This window comes from Homo sapiens, chromosome 3 (genome assembly GCF_000001405.40).
Source record: "Homo sapiens chromosome 3, GRCh38.p14 Primary Assembly".
NCBI classification, from domain to species: domain Eukaryota; kingdom Metazoa; phylum Chordata; class Mammalia; order Primates; family Hominidae; genus Homo; species Homo sapiens.
In genome coordinates, this window is record NC_000003.12 from 154,281,719 (window position 1) to 154,309,495 (window position 27,777).

A 27,777-nucleotide genomic window follows, 5' to 3' on the forward strand; every position below is an offset into this window, starting at 1 on the left:
ACTTTCCCCACCTAATTTTTCTGACACCTGACTTTCTTAGACACCTCCTGGTTTTTACTGCCATTATTTTATACTGTTCAGGATAATAATCTTTACATTCTATTTTGCATGTGTAATTCCTAACACCATTTTGTTATTAGCTCTATATTTAAATACTTCTAATGTATATACACCAGCTGATTAAGCATGCACTCTCCATTCCTGAAATCTCCACTGTGATTCCCCTTTTAACTAACAGCATTTCACCGTCAATGGGCTTTTCAAGAAGAGCTCAGGGGTACAGTATTTCTTGAATGCCTGTTGTTTTTCTTTACACCTGAATTCATATCCTGACTGGACATGACATTCTCAAACACTTGGATTCAGTTATGTTTTCATGCTTCTGTTCACTTCTCTGTTCATTTCATTATTTCCATTTCAAAACGTGTTCTTACATACATCTCAAAATAAACGTTCAATTACACAGGATTTGTATGCAGACACTAATGTCTACTGTTCTCATAATGGATGAGTCCTGTCTTCCTGTCTTTAAGATTTTACTTATTGCTTTAATTTTTGTCTTTTTCAGGTACCTCCATAAACTGTGATTACTTCAAGCTTTTTTCCTATGGCAATAACTTGTTTTTAAGGGGTGTCCATTCTGTTCCTTGTGATTTCTTTTGATCTTCAATTTGTTTTCTTAGCTCAGGTGTCTTTTCATTCACTCTACTGTTTATTTTCTAACCTATGTTTTGCTGAATTCATATTCTTATTAGCTATTCCATATTATGAAACAGTTTAAAGGTGTTTTCTACTGAAACATGGCATTCCACTCTTTTTTTTTTCTTTTCCTTTCCTTCCGAATTGTGGTGATCCTTTTTTTCCATTTTGCTAATGACTGGGCACTTCTGATTTGGTATGTTAGATTTTTTTGTTTACTAATTTGTAGATCTGTTAAATGTCCAGTATCAGGCCTCATGTCACATAGCTGGAGTGTATGTGTACTGGGAGAAGATGAGGATATTTCTATTCTCACTGGCTTCGAATACCCAGTTCAGTGTAGTCTGAAATGTGATGGCATATGCCCTCTTTACTGTTTTCTTCTGTTTTACAAATGCTTGCCTGTGGTGTTTCACTATACTAAACCAGAAAACTTACAGATATCTATCCTATTTGATACTTTTCAACAGATTTTAGTAGTGTTAGCAAAAATTCTCAGTTTGAATCATCAAAATAGCAACTAGAATGTGGGGACAGGAACAGAAATCGAACCCTACTGTGCCTTGCTCTTATCCTCTGGAACCATGTTTCTTTTCCTTGTTTTGTTGCAGTTGATTTCAGAAAGATCCCCCATTACTTTGTGTATATATACAAATATACTCAATTTCCATATATTTGACTTTTTTGCTATAGATCTAATTGTACAAAATGGATGTATATATTCTCTAATCTAGCATATATGATAATTACTGCAAAACATTCACCATTACCTGCAGTGTGTTTGAAGACAGAAAATATTCCCAGCAATAGTCCTTTTCGTATCTGAAACCACGTCGCCTAGCCTCTTCCCAGCCCTATGGGGCAAAGAAATGAAGAAATCTATATTTCTCCCGCAAACAAAGATTACTACTGGTTTCCCTCTTTACTTTAGTAAAAGCTTAATATTCTACTAATATTTAATTTTCTTTGTAAAAAATTCAAAGAATTTTATAACTGATAAAACTAAAAACACATACACTCCCCATGATCCTAGTCCTTAAGAGACAACCACCACTGAAGTTCCAGACCTTTATACAATTAAGTATATAGTAATATATTAATTATGTATTTTACACAAAATGGCATCCAAACTGTACATAATACACTAATCAAAAAGAACACACTATTAAACTGACTTAAATGCTATTATATATTTTCAAATTCACAGATTTTCTTTATAGTTTGCTTTTTTTTTTAAGAGGAGGGAAATGGGGAAAAAGGAAAGACAAGCTGAATAAGCTCAAAGACAAAAAAACATGAACTTTCCCATAATATGTCACATGAAACAGAATGTAGAGCCACAGAAAAAAGATACTGCCTCTAAAAACCAAATTACATTTAAATTTTACCAAGATAGGTGATAAATGTTTACCCTCAGATACACGTGGCTTTTGGGAGCAGAAAATGTCTCTTTAATCTGAATTATGTACATGATTATGATCCTCTATTACATGTTAAATCTGAATACAGGGTAGTTTATTAATGAATAGAAAGAGACTGTCATTAGCGTTAATAAGCCAAAGATACAAAGAAATTATTAAATACAAAATTTTAAAATAAACTATTCACTTGTTCATTCTTACCAAAAACTATTATTTCCCCAAAACGGTAAATGTAATGAACTATTACAAAATTAAAAATGAATTATAACTTTTTTCAAATGTTCAGCTAAATTTCAACATTCTCAGTAATTTACTCCTGATACCTATGATAATATAGATTTTGGTTTTTTGGTTTTTTTGAGATTGAGTCTCACTCCATCGCCCAGGCTGAAGTGCAGTGGCATGATTTCAGCTCACTGCAACCACCGCGCCCCGGAGTTCAAGCAATTCTCCTGCCTCAGCCTCCTGAGTAGCTGGGATTACAAATGCCCACCACCACACACAGCTAATTTTTGTATTTGTAGTAGAGACAGGGTTTCGCCATGTTGGCCAGCCTGGTCTCAAACTCCTGACTTCAGGTGATACACCTGCCTCAGCCTCCCAAAGTGCTATGATTACAGGCATGAGCCACCGCGCCCGGCCTTATAACAGAGATTTCAAAAGGTTAAATATGATCCTTATTCTATTATTAGCATTTCATTTGAATAAACTATCATAATCCAGGACAAAATTTTTTTTTTTTACCTCAAACGCATTCACAACTGTTAAGTGATCACTTCTAGTATCCTTTGCCAATTCCTTTCTTCTTGCATCTGCAATCTTTTCTTTTCCCTTAAAAATAGCAGACATAGCCAATTTAAATTGCTCTGATGCTATAATGGAGAATGACATTCTAATAAAACGCTAATGAAAAATATATCTAAGCAACTCCTGTTCACATCTAAAATAACTCGGTTTTATTTCCATTTTTCTTACCAGTGGAATGACAAATGGATCTTTGAAACTGAGACTAGCAGCAATAGTGAGTACTGGGTCTAAGCAGCAGAACAGTGCTCCAAAAAGAATCATTTTTCCAATATGTGGCTCAACGGGTAATCGTGCCAAGTGGACTCCAAGAGGTGTCAATTCTTCTTGTTTATCCAAAGCGTTCTGTAAAGGAAGAGTGTGTGTTTAAAATAGATCCTGTAAAGCATTACATTTAAAACGATTTTAGCTTGCTTTAAAAAGAGTAACAAGCCACTACTCTCTCTTCTAAGTCCAAATGCCCAAATATTGTTCAGCTTTAGTTTTCCCTACCAAAACATAAGTTGTGAGGTCAGCAAAGGTTACAAACTTATTTAAACATAACCAAAATTAACACACAACTTGGCTTTTCTGTGTTGAGAGAAATACCAGAAATGACAAACTTTCTGTTAAATAAAGTCACCTAATAAAGTATAAAAGTTGTAGAAACAAACAACAAAAACAAAAGATACACTATTATACATCTGGAATACATAATGCACACTCTCTAGATTCTAGTAGTTTAGGTGACGCGAGACAGAAAAGCAAAAGAAAAAGGAACTATCTAAAACCACAGAAAATGGGAGTGACTTCTGCTCTGATTCCCTAGGTCATCTGGTCCAACCACCCCACTGTGGACAGCTAGAAAAGTAGCCTGAAGATACAAGGAGTTAACAAAGAATTGTAAATCAAGAGGTTAGGGAATGAGAGACATCTAGGGGAGGTGAGTGCAGAGGTTGGGGCCTCTTTTCCTGGCAGAAAGGAACATAAAACCTTGCTGAAAAAAAGCTACCCTCATCCCAAGCTTCAAATTTTTATCTATAAAGAATTTTGTAAACAGAATTTCCAGTGCACAATTAAAATAACTAGGCATATAGATGCAAACAAGAAATAATAATAAAAGAACCCATAAGCATCCCATCAGACACAGATTTTTACTAAACAGTTTTGGAGAAAATACACTTAATTTTTTTTTTTTTAAAAGACCTCTTTCAAATAAAAGAAATGTAAAACCCTCAACTTGTTTTCTGAACCTAGAATAGCTTGATATCTAAATCTTACAAGGACATCTGAAGAAAACTAAATAAACTTACATATGAAAATCACAAAACAAAATAATGGCAAATTGAATGCTGGCAAGTTAGGTTTACTCTAAAAAGAAAAATTTGTTTAATATTTGAAACATCAGTTTAACTGAATACATGAACCAACTAAAATAGTCATACCATAATCTCATCAGAAGCAGAAGATATTTGATAAAACTGATTATCCATACAAGATAAAAATGTCTTAGTAAACTTAACGTAATAAGAGCTTCCACACACCAAAAAAAAAAAAAAAAAAAAAAAAAACACCAACAAACACTTTACTCTCAATGATTTGCTGATAGCTTCTCCTTTAAGAAGAATAAGACAAGAAGGCACACTATCATATCACTTCTGCTCAACATTGTATTAAGGGTCCCAGAAACTTAAAAAAGAATAAATAAAACTCTAATTATTTAAAGATGTGATAATATATGCAGAAAAAAATCTACATGAAGTTATTTGAATAAGGGGACTTTACAGCATTAATGAATACAATCATTCAAAAAGCAACTTTATTTCTGTATTATCAGACTCGAAAGATGATGAAATATTTAAAAGCAGAATCCAAAAATACCACTAACCTAGAAGATTAGTGGTATTTTTGGATTCTGCTTTTAAATATTTGAAATCTAAATTTTAAAAAATCTAAATAAAGACATATAAAACCCCAAAGAAAACTCTAAAATACTGAGACTGAATACCCAAATAAACAGAGGAATAGATGATGATCTTTTTGCTAAGACTCAATACTGTAAAGATGTCAGTTCTCCCCAAACTGATTTATAGATGGAATTCAATCAAAATCAAACTCCAAAGATTCTCAAATGTATTTGGAAAAACAAATCACCAAGAAGGACCAAGACACTCTGTTTTAAAAAAATTTACTATTATTATTTTTTTTTTAAGAGATAGGGTCTTGTTCTGTCATCTGGGTTGGAGTGCAGTGGTGCAAGCACAGCTCACTGTGTCCCTCAAACTCCTGGGCTCAAGCAGTCCTCCCACCTCAGTCTCTAGAGTCAAGACGTTTTTGAAGAAGAATGAAAGGGAGTGATTTGTTCCACTAGAAAACAAGATTTATCATAAAGCTAGAGTAATTAAGGCAATGTGATACCAGCTCAGGAGAGAAATACAGGCCAACAGATGAGAAATAAGCCTAGAAACAGACACACAAATCCACAGACATTGACCTATCAAAGACTGCAGAACAAGGACAAAAAGAGATGAACTTTTCTATAAATGGTGCTCAGTCAATGCTCTACATTTATTTATAAAAACTTTTATTTCTACCTCAACCCCAACACACATCAACTGCAGATGCATTATAAACAAAACAGTAAATTTTTTTTAAATGTATCTTTATGACCTCAGGAAAAGACTTATTAAAGTGTAAAAAGCAATAACCTTTGAGAATGATACATCTTACTGCATTAAAATTAGGAATTTAGACTGGGAGTGGTGGCTCATGCCTATGATCCCAGCACTTTGGGAGGCTGAGGTGTGCGGATCACTTGAGGTCAGGAGTTCCAGACCAGCCTGGTCAACATGGTGAAACCCCATCTCTACGAAAAATACAAAAATTAGCCAGACATGGTGGCAGGTGCCTGTAATCCCAGCAGGAGGCTGAGGCAGGAGAATCGCTTGAATCTGGGAGGTGGAGGTTGCAGGCTGCAGTGAGCCGAGATCATGCCACTGCACTCCATCCAACCTGCGTGACAGAGTGAGACTCTCTCCAAAAATAAAATAAAATAAAATAAAATAAGGAATTTATCAAGGTATTAAAAAAAGGAAAGTTGAAAACAGATATGCAATATACAACCAATAAAAAGCGCAGATCAAGAGTACAAAAGGACTGTATGATCTGCAACCTAACAGAAGACACTAGCAATTTATGAGAGACTACACAAATGGATAATAAACATAAAAGCTGCTGAAAACTTCAATGACAGTCATAGAAATGCAAATTAAAACCACTACATACCTACCAGCATGGTTAGAATAAAAGGCCAATTAATAAGAAAGGTTGGTGAAGCTACAAAGCAATGGGAACTCTCATCCACCACTGGTAGGAGTTTAAGTGGTTTGCAACCATGGAAAACTGTTGGGCGTTATCTACCCAACTTGATCATACATGTACCTTATAACCCAGGACGTGGAGGTTGCAGTGATCTGAGATCATGCCAGTATACTCCAGCCTGGGTGACAAAGTGAGACTCTGTCTCAAAAAAAAAAAAAAAAAAAAAAGAGGAAAAAGAAAAAAAACCATAGCTAAAGCAACAATACATTTGAATCTCATAATATTAAGTGAAATAATCCAGAGCTCTGCTCCCTCAAAGAACAAAAAAACCACACACATTCTGTATGGGTTCATGTAAAGTTCACAAAATAGGCAAAACTGAACTCTTTATGAAGATGCATACTTGTAAAAACCATCAAAAAAAAAAATCAAGCCATTATAGTTAAAGTCATGATAGAGGTTATCTATCATGATTGGGATTAAGGGACAGTGGAGTGATTATGAGAGGGTAGGAAGGGGGCTTTTAGCATACTGGGAATGTTCTTCTTGATGTAAGTAATTACTACATAGTCCTTCCTTTGTGATAAATCATTTAGCTGCATATTTGTTTTACTCGCCAGTAATTAAAGACCAGTAACTTAAAAATTTCAAATTTTATGTAATCTTAAATCAAGCCTACAATAAAAAAAAATGTGCAAAAAGATCCTAGTCTTTTAAGAATTATTACGAAGATATCACTTTATAACTTTCTAATGCCTATCTCATAACCTGATAGTTCTAAATTGATAGTCAAATAGCCAATCAAATTTGGCATTGGACATTATTGGTCTACTTTGCAGTAATGAGAGTAAACATTATAATTAACTGGTTTACATGCTGTAGTATTCTAAGTTAGAATTAAAAAAACAAGAAAACAAATTTACCAGCTCCATCAGGTGTCTTATGGAGAGTAACACTGCCTCATTTGATGGTGGGTCCATTAATCTACTCAGAAAATAAGCAATTCCACCTAGCCTTAAAATCTAAGTGGGGGAGACAAATATTATTAAATACATATAATATTAATATATTAGCATTACAACTTAGTCCTACCTGGGCTGATGACTCAAAGCATCAAATTTATACATGACTTTCAAGTTATTTTACCAAAATGAATTAAAATTATATTTGTATTTCTATAAAAACATGTTTAAAGTCCTATATATATTACTACTTTCTACCATCAACTCTATTAATAGGAAAAGTAGCTGGCTAAAATCTCAATGAACAAGTTGATTACCCACTATCTTCAAAAGTAGCTGGCTAAAATCTCAGTGAACAAGCTGATTACTCACTATCTTCAAAACAAGTCTAACTATATCAAAAGACACAAGATACTGAAATAAGTAGTTTATAATGAAGGATAACATGTTAACATGTAATAACAGTAGCTACTGTTTACTAAACACTTACCACGTGCCAGGCACTGTTCTAAGGATTTTAGGAGGTTAATTTAAACAACCTGCCCAATATAACAGAACTAGCTTTTCCGGGGTAGAAGCAGGATTCAAACACAGGCAGCCTGCCTCCTCTAGAGCAGTATATAATTTAAAAGTGTTGAATATACATTTGAAGGAAGTTTAAACACACAATTTACTAATGCACACATGAAATAAATTGTGAGTTAATAATTGTTTCTTGGAGATTAATACAGTACTTTGTTCTACAAAAGATGTTGAAAATGAGATCACTTCCATTTAGTTTCTTCATTCTCCCACCTAATTTACCTTTATTTGTAAACAAAGTTCTTCCAAAGGAGTTCTCAAAATTTCTGGCAGTTGATAGTCATCTAGAAGACTTGCTCTAAGACCATTATACAGATGATAGCAATGACCAGGTTGAACTCTTAAAAAAAAAACAAAACAAAATGAAACAAAGAGGGACAGTCATCAATGACTTTTTAGAACTGCAGAGAAAATACTAGGCAGGGAAGTAGCCAATATCAATTTCTTACATGCCACATAATAGCTAATGTACGTAATTATTTTTTCCTTTTTATGAATCATGTATTTCTTCTGTTTAGAAAAACGTTATACCCTCTACCCTCATCACAGTTTTAAGAAAGATACACAGTAATTCCTCCCCATGCCAATAATTTGCTTCCCTATTTCTGACAGATTCCAAATTACTGTGCTCAGTAACAGCAGTCTACCTAGGTTAAGGTTAAGAATAGTAACGTCAAGTATGCCTTGTGATCAATCTTATTATGTAATGAATCCTGGCATTATGCTAACCTGTCTATATTACTGAAAAACATTTTAAGTACTATATATTTAGTGAGTTTTCAGAGGGATATTAAAAGTTTCTGTTTTATGTATGTAACTAGAGCCATGAATGATATCATTTTTTGAACAATGATAAGACTAGATGTAGGCCGGGCGCGATGGCTCACACCAGTAATCCCAGCACTCTGGGACGCCGAGGTGGGTGTATCACCTAAAGTCAGGAGTTTGAGACCAGCCTGGCCAACATGGTGAAACCCCATCTGTACTAAAAAATAATACAAAAAATTAGCTGGGTGTGGTGGTGTGCTCCTGTAGTCCCAGTGGGAGGCTGAGGCAGGAGGATCACTTGAACCCAGGAGGCAGAGGTTGCAGTGAGCCAAGATCGTGCCATGTACTCCAGTCTGGTGACACAGCGAGACTTCATCTCAAAAAAAAAAAAAAAAAAAACTAGATGTGAAGAGGTGACCATATTCATGTATTCTCAAGTAGAAGAGATATTTCTTTAGGCTCTTGCTGCTATAGGAACAAAAATGAATTCTAAAAATCTTAGTTATTTTTTCCATGAGTCTACATAGACCCACTGTCTATTATATAATATACCTCAATATCTCTCCAGTAGAAACTAAAATAAGAGTACCTCCATTGAGGCCGGGCGCGGTGGCTCACGCCTGTAATCCCAGCACTTTGGGAGGCCGAGGCGGGCGGATCACGAGGTCAGGAGATCGAGACCATCCCGGCTAAAACGGTGAAACCCCGTCTCTACTAAAAATACAAAAAAATTAGCCGGGCGTAGTGGCGGGCGCCTGTAGTCCCAGCTACTTGGGAGGCTGAGGCAGGAGAATGGCGTGAACCCGGGAGGCGGAGCTTGCAGTGAGCCGAGATCCCGCCACTGCACTCCAGCCTGGGCGACAGAGCGAGACTCCGTCTCAAAAAAAAAAAAAAAAAAAAAAAAAAAGAGTACCTCCATTGAAAGCCACATACTATAGCTTTTTCTGATCTCCAAAATAATAAGGTTTGCAGAAGGAATTTTTATCCATGGAGCCTACAAAAGACTGTTTTCCTTTTAAATTAAAACAGCAATTCCACAGTTAACCTACCGCACAGGAGTGAGGACGAAGGATTAGTATTTAGCTCTATTATTGTTTCATGGAACAAATCTAAGGCTTAGTATGTTTATTATTCACATATAAAGGTGTGCCAAAACCTGTTCACTATGGTGAATACTTTTTGAATCAATATTTAGAGGTGATGGGTCTACATGGGAAAACCTCAGTCTTTCTGGGTCCCTTATCAAGTTATTCCCTGATAACTGATTATTAGGAGGGTATACTTCTTTGACTAAACCACGATTTTGGTTCAATAGCATCAACTATCTAATAAACTGTCTTGAAATCAAATTATACTGGGATAATGTGCAAAGATTACAGCAAGTCAGTCAGAGCTTTATGGATATTGTACAAACTTAAAACGAGGGGTTGATAAATGGCCTGTAAAGTTTTCTTTCAACTCTCCTTTTCTTAAGTCTGTATCGAAAGATTAATGGAAATCTCTCATTCTATCTGTAAGAGGCAAAAGAAAAACCCTCTTCTGAAAATCCATATATGGCTCTTATCACTCATATGAATAAGTGCAGAAATACTGTGAAATATGCATTAAAGTCCAATTCTTTGTAGAAGTTCAAGACAGATCATTTTTCCTATCATTAAGACAGAGATAGTTTTACTTCTTAAGTTATTATGACATTATGAGGAAAAGTACTTTCCTTGTGCTTTCATTGAAAACTACTGGTGAAAAATCAGTACTGCTATAAAATTCAGTGATTAGGAGCCTAGCCTGTGTAGTCAGAATGCCTGGATTCAAATCCTGGCTCTGTAATTTAGAAAGCTATGGGACTTTGGACAAGTCATTTAATTTCCTTGTACCTTAATTTCCTTATCTGTAAAATGGATATAATAACCTACCTCATAGTACTGTAGTGAGGATTAAGAAAGTTAATATGGATCAAGTGTTCAGGAGATGATCTGACACTCAAAAAGTATTAGTTGCTATTATTATCACACAATATATGCTTTAAAAAAATGAAAACCAACTATTATAAGTAACATAACTTATTAATCAAACTTAGAAATTGAAGGCAAAAGATTCATAAAATAGAAAACTTGGCAGATACTTTTCCAAACAAACTACGATTAGAACAACTTTCCTATTTAAAAATGTTTTGCAATAAGCTCAAAATAATAAGAAAGGTAACTCTTTTAATAAATATCTTTAAATGCCAACATCACATTTTGTTACACAAAATTTTTGTGTGTTCTAAAAGCTTTGGACAGAGTTCCCACCTTACCTTCCAGCTCGACCTTTTCTCTGTTTGGCATTAGCTTTACTAACCCACTCAGCGGACATTGTACTGATATTGTTCTGAGTATCAAAATGCGTCTCTTTTATTTTTCCTCCATCTATCACATAAACGACATCATCTATGGTAATGCTGTTTGGAAAACAGATATATAAAATGTTAAAACACACACACACACACACACACACACACACACACATCGAAAGCACTATTAACCTATAAAAGACCAATAAATAGGTATTTCAGAGCATTTTTTTTTTATTACATCAAATGATTTTAGCCATTCAGGATTTTCACTACTCTTCACACCCACATTACCAATATTATAGGGATCGAGTACCTAACAGTAGGCAGTGTCAGGCACTGTAAGTGACAGCACAGTATTAGTTCTTCAGATCATATACTAAATTCTTACTTGCCTACAGTCAAATATCACAGGTTGCCTCATACCTAGCACTATGGGAGCCCCAACAGCATGGTTTAATATCAGCTTCCAGAAAAGAATCTGTTTCAGTGACTAAACTACATCTTAGTACCTCCAAGAGAATACAAGAACATTTAAAGGCTGGATATAACTAATTACCAAATACTACCCCCAACCAGAAACAGGCGAAAGGACAAAATTTACCTCAGCTCCCATGCTTCTTTAGGAAAACAAAACAAACAAAAACCAACACCTAAAATGCTATTTCTGAGCTAAAGCATTACTATAGGTTAAAAAACCCCCACAAAACTGGCCATGCATGGTGGCTTAGGCCTGTCATCCCAGCACTTTGGGAGGTTGAGGTAATAGGATCATTTTGAGCCCAGGAGTTAGAGATCAGCCTGGGCAACATAGTGAGACTCCATCTCTACAAGAAATTTAAAAAATCAGACAGGTGTGGTGGCACAAGCCTGTAGTACAAGCTACTTGGGAGGCTGAGGTGGAAGGCTCACTTGAGCTGAGGAGATCAAGGCTGCAGTGAGCCATGATCGTGCCACTGCACTGCAGCATGGGTGACAGAATGAGACCTTGTCTCAAAAAAGCCCACAAAAAATAAAACTATGCTCACTGCCATAAAAAAGGTTTTATTTTTAATAAATTACAAGGTATATGGTAGAGAAAAAAGATTAAGGTATATAAACACGTTATGGTGTTTAAAACTTATGTAATCATCAGTATTTGATATTTAAAACTATTTTTACCTAGTCTCCGCAATGTTGGTAGCAATTACTATTTTCCGAACACCAGGAGGGGTTCTTTTAAACACCTGTAAAAATAAATACATCAGAATCACAAAAGTACACTAACTTCTAATACATTATATTTGTAATTAGAGGAATTACCTCAGATACTGTTCATTTTTAGCATTCTATGTTCATTCACTGACATATACATCTAATATTTATCGATGTATTTATGAAGTACAGATCATTTTCAATATTACAAAATTATCTTTTGGTAAACCACATTAAATCTCCCACAGATGTCACAATCTTATCACAAACAAGATTTCCAATGAGGTATCATTATTTAAATTTACAGCAGTTTTTTAACAAAAGCTGGAGGTTATAAAGTAGAGGGAGGGATATTTCTGTTAGGACAAGAATAATGAAGTCAAGTCTCCATGGGTAAGAACACTGAATAATCAGGCAGATGCCCAACCCAGCAGAACAAATGTCAACTGTGCAGCTGTACCAACCACTGTCTACTAGCTTGAGATCAGATTGGAGTGAAAAAAAAAAATCCTCTTTAAATGGAGAATTCTACAAATACTGCCCCACAACCCGACAATGTCACTAAAGTAGAAAGAAGATAGGTAATCAAGTACCACTGGCGATAATGCAAACAAACAAAAAGCAAAAACTTATCCCTTCATTTACAAAACTGGTAGTCAATACAGAAAATGTTTCCCAGGCTATTCACATACTCTCCAGCAAAGGAATACATAATTTACTAGGTTATGGTGTGGAAGATGAATACTTCCATGCTGGATACTCTTTCAGTCTTTGGAATCAAGAGTTTTCTTTCTTGCCCCCTCTCTTCTCTCAGGTATGTACTCTGTATCTAATTCATGACTAAGGTACCAGCAACAAAAATATTAAAAGGGTCTCAAAGAAAAGTATCTTGATATTTTCTTATAAAAAGAGAAAAGGATAAACTAGAAATGGGGGGAGGAGCAGGTTTTCTAATCAATTTCATTTTGCAAGAGCCTGCAAATACTGTAGATCATAACATTATCCTGCCTCTGAGAATGTAGTGTTCACTCTAATTAGGAAAGCGCCTGTATCTGATGGAGCCAAACATTCATAATACATTATTAAAACAGAAATTTTATACCTGTGAATATACTAGCTTTGTGAAATTAAATCTCAAATCATCATCAAACTGTAGTATGTCACAGATCATTAATTTCTAGGTTTGGTTACTTTTAGTAGTACTCACAGACCTTTTTCTCTTACTCAGGAAACTCAACGAAGTTACTGGTGAAACCAATTCTTTAAACTTTTTCCTAATGTAGACAAAACTAATCTGATTTGTGGGTTATCCGCTGATATTCAAGTTTTTGAGCAATCATCCCCTGAAGACTCATTTGCAAAGGTTCTCAAAGAAGTATTTTTTTACATGAATTACTATTTGAAAATACTCCTTAAAAAAAATAAAGGAAAACACGTAACAAGCAGTCCTTAAAGCTTGCCTCAGTTTGAAATACATTTAACAAATGTATCCATTTAACATACCTGTGTCTGGTTAACTGTAGGCATCAGTGAATGTAAAGGTATAATTAAAAATTTATCTGAAAATTAAAGAGAATTAAATTTTAAGATAAAGAGTTGCAGAAAAGCTCCATCAAACACATATGAGACAATGAATTCAGAAGCTGAACCACTCAATTCTTTTTTTGATAAGACATTGAACATTATTTAATGAAAACAGCTAAACCATCTGAGTTGACAAACTGCCCATGTGTTTAAGTGAACCAAAAATTCTTTATTTTTATTTCTACATACAAACAGACCAACTTAATTTCTTTATAGTCTTGTTTTCTGAGCGCTCCAAGTTCAAGCTAACATTTTGTTCTGTTAGTTTATTTCATATTGATAAGTATTTTCCCCAAATTCTTAAAGAATGCTCAAAAGTTGGGAGTAATCTTTTCAAATTACACCAATAAAAACTGAATGAATAGGCAACAATTCTGTTTAACATGAATACGTTTGTACACTTTGGGTGATCCTATTTTTTTGTTGTTCAGTCAGGGTCTCATTCTGTTGCCCGTTGCTGTGGTGTGATCTCTGCTCACTGCAACCTCTGCCCCCTGGGCTCAAGTGATCCTCCCACCTCAGCCTCCCGAGTAGCTGAGACCACAGGCATGCACAACCATGTTTGGCTAATTTTTGTATTTTTTGTAGAGATGGGGATTTGCCATGTTGCCCAGGCTGGTCTTGAACTCCCAAGCTCAAGCAATCCACCCACCTCAGCCTTCCGAAGTACTGGGATTACAGATTACAGGCATGAGCCCTGCACCTGGCAATCCTCACTATTTTAATCAAACCGATAATATCTAAATTTTTAGAGCAAATTACTTATTAAATACCCATGTCCTAGTTAGAAAATAATGAAATAGTCCTTGTTAAAAATAATACATTCCAGGCCAGGCGCGGTGGCTCATGCCTGTAATCCCAGCACTTTGGGAGGCCGAGGCGGGCGGATCACGAGGTCAGGAGATCAAGACCATCCTGGCTAACACGGTGAAACCCCGTCTATACTAAAAATACAAAAACTTAGCTGGGCGTGTTGGCGGGCGCCTGTAGTCCCAGCTACCTGGGAGGCTGAGGCAGGAGAATGGCGTGAACCTGGGAGGCGGAGCTTGCAGTGAGCCGAGATCGCGCCACTGCACTCCAGCCTAGGTGACAGAGCGAGACTCCGTCTCAAAAATAATAATAATAATAATAATAATACATTCCAAAAGTGACCCACATTTTACACATATTTTGTTAAAAATATAAGAAATTCCTACTTTTTAAGTTTCCAAATGAAATAGCTCAAGCCCATTCACAATTATTAGCCAACACAGAAAGTCTGGTGTAATACAGTGATGGGTGAAAGGGAGAGTATCAAGAAAGCAAGAGTTAATTTCACATTTAACTATGCTTACAAAAATACAATCTGACTTAAATGCCCAAATGATTCAAGTCAGCTATACTTCCCCAGAAAAGAACTGTTGTTATCTAAAGGATATGATGATCCCCATGGACTCTGACTGTGAAGAGATTTTACGAATCTTAAAAATAAAAAGTAGTGAACAGCTGCCAAGCAACTGATGTTGCTAAAAAAGAATCCTCTGAATTACTTGTCTCTGTGACAGTATGAAATATTACAACTATAATATTCAAGCCAAAAATACTTGAATTGAATCAAGCTTTCAGATATAACTTTCGAGTTACAGGAAATAAAGGTAAGAGAGAATCAAATGAAATGATAGCATAAAGAGTCACACAAATTCAGAAAGTTGGACTTATTAGAGAACAAATGGCCTGGTCTTTTCCATGACTTTACATTACCATGAGGAAAAGCAGGGAGTGGAGGGGAGCAATGTTCTAGAGCTAGATCAAAAGATGTTGACACTTTCTATAGTTTGAACAGGCTAGTTGTGAAAGACACTTTTCAGAAAAATGGGAAAATCTGATTACAGACTGGATTATCAGATGGTATTAAGGATTAGGTATGATAAAGACATGATGGTTATATAGAAAATTGCCTTTAGAGATTCTTGCTTATACATTTAGAAATGAAATGTGACAGCTGCAATTGACTTTAAGAAAAAACTAGGACTGAAAAAATAATTGTTGGCACTGAAGTCGTGGATTCATTAAGATTCTCTAGTTTTGGCTGGGTGCAGTGGCTCACGCCCGCAATCCCAGCACTTTGAGAGGCCAAGGCAGGTGGATTACAAGGTCAGGAGTTCAAGACCAACCTGGCTAAGATGGTGAAACCCTGTCTCTACTAAAAATACAAAAATTACCCAGGTGTGGTGATGGGTGCCTATAATCCCAGCTACTCGGGAGGCTGAGGCAGGGAACTGCTTGAACCTGGGAGGCGGAGGTTGCAGTGAGCTGAGATCGTGCCACTGCACTCCAGCCTGGGAAACAGAGCGAGACTCCACCTCAAAAAAAAAAAAAAAGTCTCTAGTTTTTTTGTATATTTAAAATGTTTCATTATAAAAAGTTTAAAAGTTAGCCAGGGATAATAAAAGTAAAAACAATTCTGTTGAAGACTATATAATTGGGAAAAAAAATTTATATTGTTGACACCATACAACTAAGAGAGTTAATGAGAACAAAATCTATACTCTTATGAAAAGAAAAAAACAAGAAATTGATAAGCATTTAATAAACTGAGTTTCAAAACTCAATTTCTCAGCACAGAGTTAGGCCAATTTTCTCCCCATGATAGTGGTTAACTATACAACTGATTATCAAGGCTAAATTTTTTTCAACATAATTTGAGAAAAAACACTCAAGTTCTGGAAAGATTTCCTTTAAAAGGAATTGAGCTGGTAGTGGAAGTGTATACATTAGCAACTCTTTCCTTGAGAATAATTAATTCAAACTAGAAAGTTAACGAAGTCAATTATAATAATCTATAATATACCCTTTTCCCACTCTCCATCACATACACTAAATGATAACGTTATATTTTGGTATATATCTTATCTTCATTGGTAAATATATGCACACACATTTTTTAAAATTATAAGTACACTATACAATAATGTTTATAATAATGGGGGAAGGAAAGGCCAGAGTTAGATTTAGCCAATAAAAAAATTCTAGTTGTTTGAAAAATTCAGCTGTCTAATCATGACAAATTTTTCTATAAAGTTATCACACAAAAAGAAAACAGAAAGCAGTATTTCTTTATAGAGAAGTCAATTAGATCAAAATACTTTGCAAGCTAGATAGTAAATAATTTTAATTACAGAGAATGCTTTCAGAGCATAACAGGATTTAACAAATAATAAATATATACATTTATTATTTTAGTCAATACAATTAGATCAAAATATTTTCTAGTGCCTATAAATTTTGTCTGGCTGGGCGTGGTGGCTCATGCCTGTAATCCCAGCACTTGGGAGGCCGAGGCAGGCAGATCACAAGGTCAGGAGATCAAGACCATCCTGGCTTACACAGTAAAACCCTGTCTCTACTAAAAATACAAAAAATTAGGCGGGCGTGGTGGCAGGTGCCTGCAGTCCCAGCTACTCAGGAGGCAGGGCAGGAGAATCTCATGAACCTGGAAGGTAGAGGTTGCAGTGAGCCGAGATCGCACCACTGCACTCCAGCCTGGGCAAGAGAGTGAGATGCTGTTTCAAAAATAAATTAATAAATAAATAATTAATTTTGTCAAAAGCACTTCAACAGAGTAGGGTTAGAAATTATATTCAGAGGCCACACGTGGTGGCTCAAGCCTGTAATCCCAGCACTTTGGAAAGCTGAGATGGGAGGATCACTTCAGGTCTGGAGTTCGAGACCAGCCTGGTCAACATAGTGAAACCCCATCTCTACTAAAAATGCAGAAAGTCAGCCGGGCATGGTGTCACATGCCTGTAATCCCAGCTACTCTGGAGACTGAGGCAGGAGAACTGCTTGAACAAAGGAGGCGGAGGTTGCAGTGAGCCGAGATGGCATCACTGCACTCCAACCTGGCAACAGAGCGAGACTCCATCTCAAAATAAAAAAATTATATTCAGAACTGTAAAAATTAAATAGAATTTTCTTTGTAGTTTTTATATTTGAAGTTAATGATTGCTGAAAATACTCTAAATTTTATAGAAAAAAAGGTTCTCATTCATTTCTCTAGAGTTTATATGTTTCAAAATATGCTGTTCATACAGGATCAAAATCACTTGAGGAATTTTTAACAACTTCAGATGTTCAGGTCGCATTCTTAGATTTGGGGTGATGATGGGGTCTAGGTATCTGAATCTTAAAGAAGCTCCATGGGTGACTCTGTTGTATACTCAGAATTCAGAAACACTGGGCCAAGGGATTTCTTTTTTGCAGCAGTAAGTGAAAAAATGAAAAACCTCACATACCTATGCTTTAAGAGCCAATTTTATTAGGCAAATTGTGAAAAAGAAAGAAAATATTCTCTTCATAATACTAAATAAAAAGCTTCACCTTCATCTGTGACCTAGTAGAAGCAACACTTCTTTGAATAAAAGAAAAAAATACACATCATATATAATTCAAATACCACTCTTTGAATTACAGTAAAATACATTTACATAGTACCTGATTTAAACATTACTTGTGACATCAAGAGATCATGTAAAGTGCTGATATTGTCCCAGCCTGGCAGAAAGACCAGTATCGCACCATCCTATATGAAGGGGAAATAACCATTACAAAGGATCACATCAACAAAATGCAGTAACAGTAAAATTGTGTGCACACTGAAGTCTCCATTAAAATTATACTAGCTCAGGATAATTTTCGTTAATAATTAAAAGTATATAAGCTTTTTTTTTTTAATTATTGTTTTTGAGAGAGTCTTGCTCTGTCACCCAGGATGGAGTACAATGGCATGATCTCGGATCACTGCAGCATCTGCCTCCTGGGTTCAAGTGATTCTCATGCTCGGCCTCCCAAGTAGCTGGGATTACAGGCCTGTGTCACCACGCCCAGCAAATTTTTGTATTTTTAGTAGAGACAGGGTTTTGCCACATTGGCCAGGCTGGTCTCGAACTCCTGGCCTCAAGTGATCCACCTGCCTTGGCCTCCCAGAGTGCTGGGATTACAGGCATGAGCCACTGCATCCAGCTAAGCTCACTTTTAAAAAATGAGATTTATAATCCATATATTTGTTTAGTCTTTTCTTCAAACAGGTCAAATGCCTAAATCTTTTGCTACTATGAGATGATTTCTAGTATCAAAAGTAATTTCTTCCAGTCTATTTCATAAGCATTTAAGAAAACTGTATTTTTCATGGCCTTGATACGTTAATAAAATTAAAATTATGTTAACTGAAGAAAGAAAAATAAAACTAACCTCTTCTTCCAAAACAATGTATCGGATGAGGGCAACAATCAAATTCAGATCAACTTTATCATCCTCCATCATTTCTATAACATCTACAGTACTTGCAGAATACCTATCAAAGTTAAACACAAAGTCATGAAATACTTAATCAAGTTTTCTGTTAACTTGCTACAAAAGCTTAAAATTAACTCAATCTGCAAATGGAGGAACATAATCTACAGATCGGAGAGAATTACTGGGGTAATTACTGCTTAAAAGTCAAATCAGCACAATATTTAGCTCGAATAAGAGACTCACAATGCTCTCCTTTAAGTACGTACAGATTCAAGAAGATGCCCCCAGCCTCTGGCTTTTTGTTTTATTTAGCCACTGATTTCTCACCTTCAGACAAAATAAACTTACCTTCTTCGCAGTTCCCTTACATAATCTGGCCAACGTTCTTTATATATTGCTTCTTTTTCTTCTTTTTCTTGTCTATTTACATGCCCTTGCATGAAACCCCTCTTAAACTGGGATCTGTGTTCTTTTTGTTCTGGAACATACCTAAAATAAAAACATTCTTGAATATCTTCACTTTTTTGAAACTCTAGTTTTAGCTAAAATCTGTGACATTTTATATTTAGGATTTTCAAAAAGGATTCCAAAGAACATTTTCATTATGCTTTCAAGTGAATGCTAGCTAAAATATCAGTTTGTGTTCATTAACTTATAAAACCTGATATTTTGGATAAAAATCATTCTTCTTTATTGAAGTATATAAACCTATAGATCATTTTTAGTCAAAAATTTAGAAAAAGACTAAAGTAAGTAACTTTTACCTTCTATTTTAAGTTTGCTTTAGAACAAAAGTTAATATTAATGTTAAGTCCAAACCTGACTGCACGTAAGAATTGAATCCCTCAGAGAGCTTGTAAAATACAGACTCCTAAATCCCATCCCTGATGATTTGGATTTGGTAGGTATGCCTTGGGTCTGTTAATCTAAGAATTTTAATTAGTGCCTGCAGGAGATTCAGATAGTGTATCCAGATCTACAGACCCACGCTAGAGAACTATTTAATTCTGCTCAGTCACACAGTTGTAGTTAATGGCAGATCCAGAATCAGTATTCAAGTCTCTCATATGTCAATTGAGTGCTGTACTATGATTCTACTACCATCCTGTAGTGATTGCTAAAACCATAGAGGGCGCATCTGGACAATAATTCTACCTATCATTGTCAGTCCTGAGAGGCACGAGGTGGGAAAAGACAAAAATGAACCCACACTTTAACCCCAAGGCATCTCTGAGCTCAACTAGAGGACAGCATCTAGATGGAATGGGGGAGGGGCTGGAGCATGGACTCCCAAGTCAGAATATCCCTCCTCTGCTACTGACTAGCTGTGTAACCTTAGACAAGGCATTAAACATCTGGCCTTTAGTTATCTTATTTGAGAGATTAATGTTTGTAACAGTACTGGCATGAGATTTTTAAAAATGTGATAAAGTAAAAAAAAAAAAAAAAGTGATAAAGCCTCATGTATAGCACAAAGAGTGCTTCCCTAAGAGTGAAGAACATAGTACCAAAAGAGGAACTATTGTATTAGCACAGGAGAGATAGTAAGGACCTTAGCAAAGAAATAAAAATGAGAAAGCATGTTCAAGAAGAAAGTTCCCAGAGTTTGTGTGTGTTTGAAGGCAGTACAAAATGACTTGGATTAACTTGGTTACTCACTGTGTAAAACAGTTGCCATACCCTGGTACATAACTGCCTGATACACACTAACTTTTTGATTTATAGGTCAGAAAACTAAGTGGAGGATAATTATTAACCATTATAAAGTATGCTGGGCAAGACACATTGTTTTATTTTTTTGGTGGGAGAATATAAGATAATGATTTAGGCTTGAGAAATGTTAGGTTCAAGGCATCTGTGGTACTAGAATACTATTGAGCAGAAAGCCAGTTCGAAGGTCAGGAGAAGCTTCAGTTCTGAAGCTACACTACTGAAAGCTGTGAAAATACAGAACTACAGTTAGGGATATAAACAGGTTTGCACAGTGAAAACATAAATGATTGAGAAGACTGGGGGAAATTATATTTAAAGGTTCGGCAATGGAAGCCAACAAAGGAAAGTGAAAATCAGGCAGGAGAACCAGCAAAAGGGTTCAAACACTAAAGACAAAGGTTCCCAAACTTTGCTGCCCAGGAATCTTCAAAAAACACTGACACCAGCCAGGCGTGGTGGCTCACACCTGTAATACCAGGACTTTGGGATGCTGAGGCAGGCAAATCACTTGAGGTCAGGAGTTTGAGACCAGCCTGGCCAACACGGTGAAACTAGTTTCTACTAAAAATACAAAAATTAGCTGGGCATGGTGGCACACACCTGTAATCCTAGTTACTTGGGAGGCTGAGGTGGGAGAATCACTTCAACCTGGAAGGCGGAGGTTGCCGTGAGCGGAGATAGCTCCACTGCACTCTAGGCTAGGCGACAGAGAGAGACTCTGTCTCAATTAAAAAAAACCACGGATGCCTGGCTACTACCTCAGACACTGTAATGTAATTTAGGTAGGGAGTATAAATCAGGCATCTGGATTTTAAAAAGCTCCAGGCAATTTTAATGTGCAGCCAAGTGTGGCTAATTCCCAGAAAAATGTTTTACAAGGAAATAGTCAATGATGGGTTTCTGAGACTAAAGTTTGACATGAGAAAAGTGATATATTAGTACTTTTTAATGTTTTTTATTTCCTAATGTTTACTTACCTTATTTTTTCAATTACATCTTCCAAAAGATATTCCACAACCGGAAAGGTAAAACCAGGTATATGTATCATTGGACAGTTACCTATTACGGCAGACAAAATATAAGCATAAATTTGTACTCAAATGTTAAAAACATTAATATACTGTAAATAGGACAATGACTCTATTACTTACTATTAATTCCAGAAAATGGTCCTGTAGCTTTTACAATTCTACCCTACTTTTCCACACCTACTTTAATAAAAAACAGCAGTCTAGTCTTCACTCAATACCATTTTACTGCTACCAAACTGTACACACATCTCACAGTTCTACAAAATAACACAGAATATCAAAGAATAGAGTTTTAAGTTGAACTCAAAATCCATTAGTTAGAAGTCTATTTTCTCTTCATCATTAACCCAGATGGTGCCATAATAGAATATCCAGAATATCAAAGTTTTACTGAATTCTAGATAAGCATTACTACTTGTAGCACCCGGAATTAGCGGAGAAAGGTAATCAAAACAAAACCTAAACAAATAGATTGTTACTATTTCAAAATTACTAATAAAAAAATCACTTCGGTACTGTTATTTAAATGCTCTTTACATTTCATAACAAGCGAAACAAGCAGTACACACTGTAAAAAGCAAACATCACATCAGAGGTCAAAATACCTAAGTAGGTATCACTGCTCTACCCATGATGTGCACACATTTGAGCAAAGTACTCAATGTTAGTTCTAGAAGTCTCATTTAAAAATAACAATAATAACACCTACCCCAACTAATCTTACATGGTTTTCAGTATTAACTGGGATGTATTTTAAAGGACTTTTAAAAAGCTGATGACAAGAACATTTATTAAACATAAATATATTACATTGTAATTCCCTCCCTTTCCCCCTCCTTCCTTCACAAGTATAAGCAGGAAAGACAGTGAGGATTAATTTTAAAAGAATGTGCTTTTGCAGCTGGTCCAATCTAGCTTCAGCTTGGGAAACCTACTTAACTGCTCTGAGGCTGCTTTCTCATCTGTAAAAATGTGAATGATAATAGCAACTACCTCATAAAGTGTTATAAAGACTAAGGAAGACAAAGTGGCAAATATACTACCTGGAACATTGAAGGTGTTCCATAAGTGGTCACTAGCAGTATTAGCAGCAAACTGCCACCCTAACCTGTGATAAAAGCCACAGAAAAACAACAGAAAGAAGTTTATAAAATTATGCAAATCTGTGGTTTGACTTCAATGATGCCATCTTAATTGTGTGGTGGTAGCAACAAGAAGCTACCTGTCCTCACTATGAGAGATGATGCCACCATTTAAAAATAGACCCAATTGTCTAATCCATGAAACTGGAGGGTAGAATAATATTAAAATAAAATTAACAGCTAAACATTCATTTTGACTACTCTTTACCTAGTACCATATTAATTTTTTTAATTGTTTTTCTAGTACCTTTTCTAATGTAATAACTATACATTTTACTCACCAAAATATTCTGAAAACTTTTCTGCATTCAATGTTGCACTCATCAATATTACTTTCAAGTCAGATCGAAAATTGAGAAGGTCTTTAACAACAGTCATTAAAACATCTGACTGCAGATTTCTTTCATGGATTTCATCAAGTACGATATGACTAACACTGGACAAATACCTAAGGCAGAAGTGTGAAGTACAAAATTTTAAAACCATTTTTCTTTAACAACTAGTAAAATCCAATTTAATAATTACATCTTTTGATAACACTTATATTTCCTTAATTGAAACATACTCACGGGTCTGACTGGAGCCACTGAAGGATGATTCCTGTTGTACAGTATAAGATAGAACCCTGTTTCCTTGGCAACCGACTGTGAATGAAAGACATGAATTAATAAGCCTTGGTTTTCTCTTCTAATAATTAACTACCACAAAGGTTTATATCTTCAATTTTAGAAATGCTTTCAGTTTTAATGAAAATCTTCACACTTAATTTTTTACTTATAAGAACACCTACCACAATGGGGTAATGGGAAATACTTCAAGTTCATTATACATTATCTTTGTTGTCATTGATATAATGTTAATTTCTTTTAAAAGATACGACCATTCACATTCAGACAACAACTGAATTACTTATGGGGCCTAAATATTTGGTTCGTAATTGGAAAGCTCATTTGAAAAGGCAAATGTGTCAGGCATGGTGGCTCAGGCTTGTAATCCCAACACTTTGAGGCCAAGATGGGAGGGTTGCTTGAGCCCAGGAGCTCAAGACCAGCCTGGGCAACACAGCGAGATCCAGGCTCGAAAAGTAAAAAAATTAGCCAGTTGTGGTGGTGTCCGCCGGTAGGCCCAGCTACTTGAGAGGCTGAGGTGGGAGGACTGCTTGAGCACAGGAGTCTTCGGCTGCAGTGAGTTGACTGCACCACTGCACTTCAGCCAGAGCAACAGAGTGAGAACCTATCTCTAAAAAACATTAAGTAAATTAAAACATAAAAAGGCAAATGGAGTCCTAAGCTCCAGAAAAGGACCAACTATGTACTGCACAGTGGAGTTGGATAGGGGGTTAAGATATCAAAATCAATAAAAAGTCAGTCGGAAGTATATGGAGGTGGTACTGAAAGGTCTACACAATCTTTTCAGAGAGAGTAATGGTCTACTAATCTATGTCCAGGAAAAATGTTTATTTTTCTAATCATTCCAAATATAAAAGCATCATTTAAAAAAGGCAATACAAGTCTGATGTGGGGTTAAAAGATAAATTTGTGGCAGCAAGTCATCTACGCTGCAGTTACTTTAAATGGTAATTGTAATAGTAATAACCATCATAAAAATGGGGAAAATATCCTTTCTTTTGAATCTCCAGCTTCAAAGTTTCACTAAAATCTGCCTGTATATAAGAAGTGAACATTTCTTACCTCTGGAGACGAATTTGATATCCAGTACTATTACCACTGCCACAAGATTCTGCCCTTTCTGCAGCTACTCTTTCCGCAACCTTTAATTCAAATAAAACATAAAGAGAATATAATTTCCTTTAGAACAAATATCCTGAATGTCCATGAAAATCTAGGACTGTTGAAAAATTGTTCTTCAGATTTCTAAATGAGTTAAAAAAATAGATATTAAAATCTGAGGTATCTAAAACAGTGTGTGCCTCTCTTAAGAGCTGTTTATTTTTCATTTCCTCTTATAAAGTCTTTTAAGGCCAAGTTCTCTCATCACTAGTTTCAAAGTGCCTTTCTATAGCATCCTCTCATTAATTTATACTTTTCTGGTCTTTTCTAAGAGTTGTAAATCAAGATCTAAACTTGTAGAAGTTATGTGTAATTTGAAAGTAATTACATATTGATACTCTTCCCTTGTGTTTTTGTTTGTGGTAGGGACTGGTGTTGAATTTCTAGTTCTTGGTCATGTTTTGAAAGTTATGACTGCCAAAAATAAGATTTGGAAAGATGAAATGTTATAATCTAATACTGATTTGTACAACTAAAAGTAACCAACAGTTATTCTGTGACAGAACAGTGATAATAAGGTATTAGAAATAGAAAATGGCATAATTTGTAAGAAATAATACTTTACAAGTAAAACTTTCCAATAAGTATATCTAGTATACACTGACAGACCACATTAACCTGTCTACTCAAATTCCAACAGATGGTGGAAAAAAGAAGAGAAAAATTACCTACTTAGCATTTCTTCCTACTATCAGCATATACAGTAACTGCTATATATTAGTGAAAATATTTAAGTCTAGCTACAAAAGTGTGTTATGACAAAAGTGGTTTATTTTTCACCATTCTGTAATTTTATGCAATTTCCTGGAATATAGTCCCCATAAAAGGGTGAAGACTACCTGAAACTGAAACTACTAGAAGAAAACCTAGGGAAAAACTCCTTTGGACATTGGTCTAGGCAAAGAATTTATGACTAAGACCTCAAAAGCACAGGCGACAAAAATAAAAATAGACAAATGGGAATTAACTAAGAAGTTTCTACACAACAAAAGAAATAATCAACAGAGTAAACAGATAATTTCCAGAACGGAAGAAAATATGTGCAAACTATTCATCCAGCAGTGGACAAATACCCAGTATATACAAGAAACTCAAACAACAACAATAAAAGACAAATCATCCCCTTAAAAGGAGGGCAAAAGACAAGAACAGACATTTTTCAAAAGAAGATATACAAATGACTAACAGGTATATGAAAAATGCACAACATCACTAATCATCAGAGAAATGCAAATTAAAACCACAATGAGATATCATCTTACCCCAGTCAAAATGGCTACTATTAAAGAGTCAAAAAATAATAGATCTTGGCCAGGACATGGATAAAAGAGAACTCTTACATACTGTTGGTAGGAATGCAAATTAGCACAGCCTCTATAGAAAACAGTATGGAGATTGCTCAAAGAACTAAAAATAGAGCTATCATTTGATCCAGCAATCCCACTGCTGGGTTTCTACCCAAAGGAAAAGAAATCAATGTGTCAAAAAAAAAAAAATACTTGTCTTGCATGTTTATCACAGTACTATTCATAACAGTAAAGATACGGAATCAATCTAAGTGCTCATCAATGGATGACTGGATAAGGAAAATGTGGTGTATATATACACCACAATGGAATACTATTTAGCTGTAAGAGTGAAATCATGTCGAAATAGACACAAAAAGACAAAATATCATATTTCACATAAGTGGGTGCTAAAAACCAGGTATATGTGGACATAGAGTGTGGAATGGCAAACGATGGAGACTCAGAAGAGAAGACAGGAGGAGGACAGATGATGAGAAATTACTTAATGGGTACAATGTATATGATGTGGGTGATGGACAACCTAGAAGCTCTCACTTAACCACTACACAACCTATGCATGTAACAAAATTGCACTTGTATCCCATAAATTTACACACTTCTTTTTAAAAAGGGGTGAAGTCTACTGCTCTTTCTTTATAGTACTTCTTAGAAACCAAAGCTTAAAACATATACTGTATTTACTGCCAAGTGCTGTCATAATTGGTAATGTTTTTAACCACAGATTCTATATTAAATGACTTAGACATGTGATAAGCAGCACTGCCATAAAACCAAAGACAAACACAAATCTTTATAATTTATACACAGAATTATATAGCATAAATAAATTCACTATGCACACTGAAATATGACAAGAAACCCCAAACACCTTTAAAAAATATATAACTCACATATTTAACTAGGTCATCTAACTAAAAACGATGACGACAACAAAATCAATGTACAGGCTGAGTATTCCTTAGCCAAAATGATCAGGACCAGAAGTGTTTCCGGTTTCTATTTTGGAATATTTGCATTATACTTGCCCTTGTTAAACATCCCAAATCTGAAAATTCAAAATGTGAAATGCTCTAGTGAGCATTTCCATTTTGCTACTCAAACAGTTCTGGATTTGGGAGCATTCTGGATTTCGTATAGTCAACCTGAACTAAAAGTTACTTATAAACTGTTACTTAAGTATGCCTTCCCAAAATTTTGGACTTGACAAACCAGAAACAATACCTTATTTTTCCTCATAAATTTCCTCTTACTGAGTAGCTGCATTCAAAAATGACTGACTATGGCTGGACACAGAGACTTATGCCTGTAATCCCAGCACTCCGGGAGGCTGAAGTGGGCAGATCGCTTGAGCCCAGTAGTTCGAGACCAGCATGGGCAACATGGCAAAACCCCATCTCTACAAAAAATACAAATATTAGCCAGGTATGGTAGCACATGCCTATAGTACCACCTACTTGGGGGGCGGAGGCAGGAGGATCACTTGAACCCTAGAGGTTGAGGCTGCACTGAGCCGTGTTATCACCACTGCGCTCCAGCTTAAGTGACAAAATAAGACCCTGTCTCAAAAAATAAATAAATAAATCACTGACTACAGAAATGCAGCTTAAAAAAAAAAACAAGGTTTCCCACTTTCACCACCATTCAGTGTATTTACATACTCAAAAAATGACAGAAGTAAAAAAAAAAGTTAAATAAACCAAGTAGTAAAATTTAAAGAATCAAATGATGGAGATTATTTGAAGCTTGTAATCAATTCTATAAATATTTTATCTATTTCATTCTTGTGAACATGTACTGAAATTTGCCTGGATATCAATTTTATCTTGAATTCATAAATATCTATTATCTGTTAAGAGAGAGGTTACTCAATT

General features: G+C 35.5%; 1 protein-coding gene across 2 annotated transcripts in view, besides 1 other annotated feature; it reads right to left on the minus strand.

Moving 5' to 3' along the window:
• The window catches only part of DHX36 (DEAH-box helicase 36), a 51,942-nt gene that overhangs the window by 9,173 nt on the left and 14,992 nt on the right, over positions 1 to 27,777 (minus strand). Inside the window, exons 6-20 of one of the 2 annotated variants that reach the window (NM_001114397.2) lie at positions 24,498 to 24,577; positions 23,376 to 23,450; positions 23,088 to 23,254; positions 21,611 to 21,692; positions 19,269 to 19,409; positions 18,876 to 18,978; positions 18,120 to 18,207; positions 13,566 to 13,579; positions 12,030 to 12,094; positions 10,833 to 10,976; positions 7,991 to 8,108; positions 7,148 to 7,246; positions 3,096 to 3,269; positions 2,865 to 2,951; positions 1,470 to 1,553 (exon numbers count right to left, since the gene is read on the minus strand). In NM_001114397.2, coding sequence (NP_001107869.1) covers positions 1,470 to 1,553; positions 2,865 to 2,951; positions 3,096 to 3,269; positions 7,148 to 7,246; positions 7,991 to 8,108; positions 10,833 to 10,976; positions 12,030 to 12,094; positions 13,566 to 13,579; positions 18,120 to 18,207; positions 18,876 to 18,978; positions 19,269 to 19,409; positions 21,611 to 21,692; positions 23,088 to 23,254; positions 23,376 to 23,450; positions 24,498 to 24,577 — 1,521 coding nt within the window. Of the gene's footprint in view, positions 1 to 1,469; positions 1,554 to 2,864; positions 2,952 to 3,095; positions 3,270 to 7,147; positions 7,247 to 7,990; positions 8,109 to 10,832; positions 10,977 to 12,029; positions 12,095 to 13,565; positions 13,622 to 18,119; positions 18,208 to 18,875; positions 18,979 to 19,268; positions 19,410 to 21,610; positions 21,693 to 23,087; positions 23,255 to 23,375; positions 23,451 to 24,497; positions 24,578 to 27,777 lie in introns of both variants that reach the window. The other variant, NM_020865.3, reaches the window with a different exon arrangement.
• Positions 3,629 to 3,829: a silencer, noted in NCBI's record as "peak4869 fragment used in MPRA reporter construct". NCBI's record gives its function as "represses an SCP1 promoter by STARR-seq MPRAs in K562 erythroleukemia cells {active_cell/tissue: K562}" and the evidence as "EXISTENCE:reporter gene assay evidence [ECO:0000049][PMID:32103011]".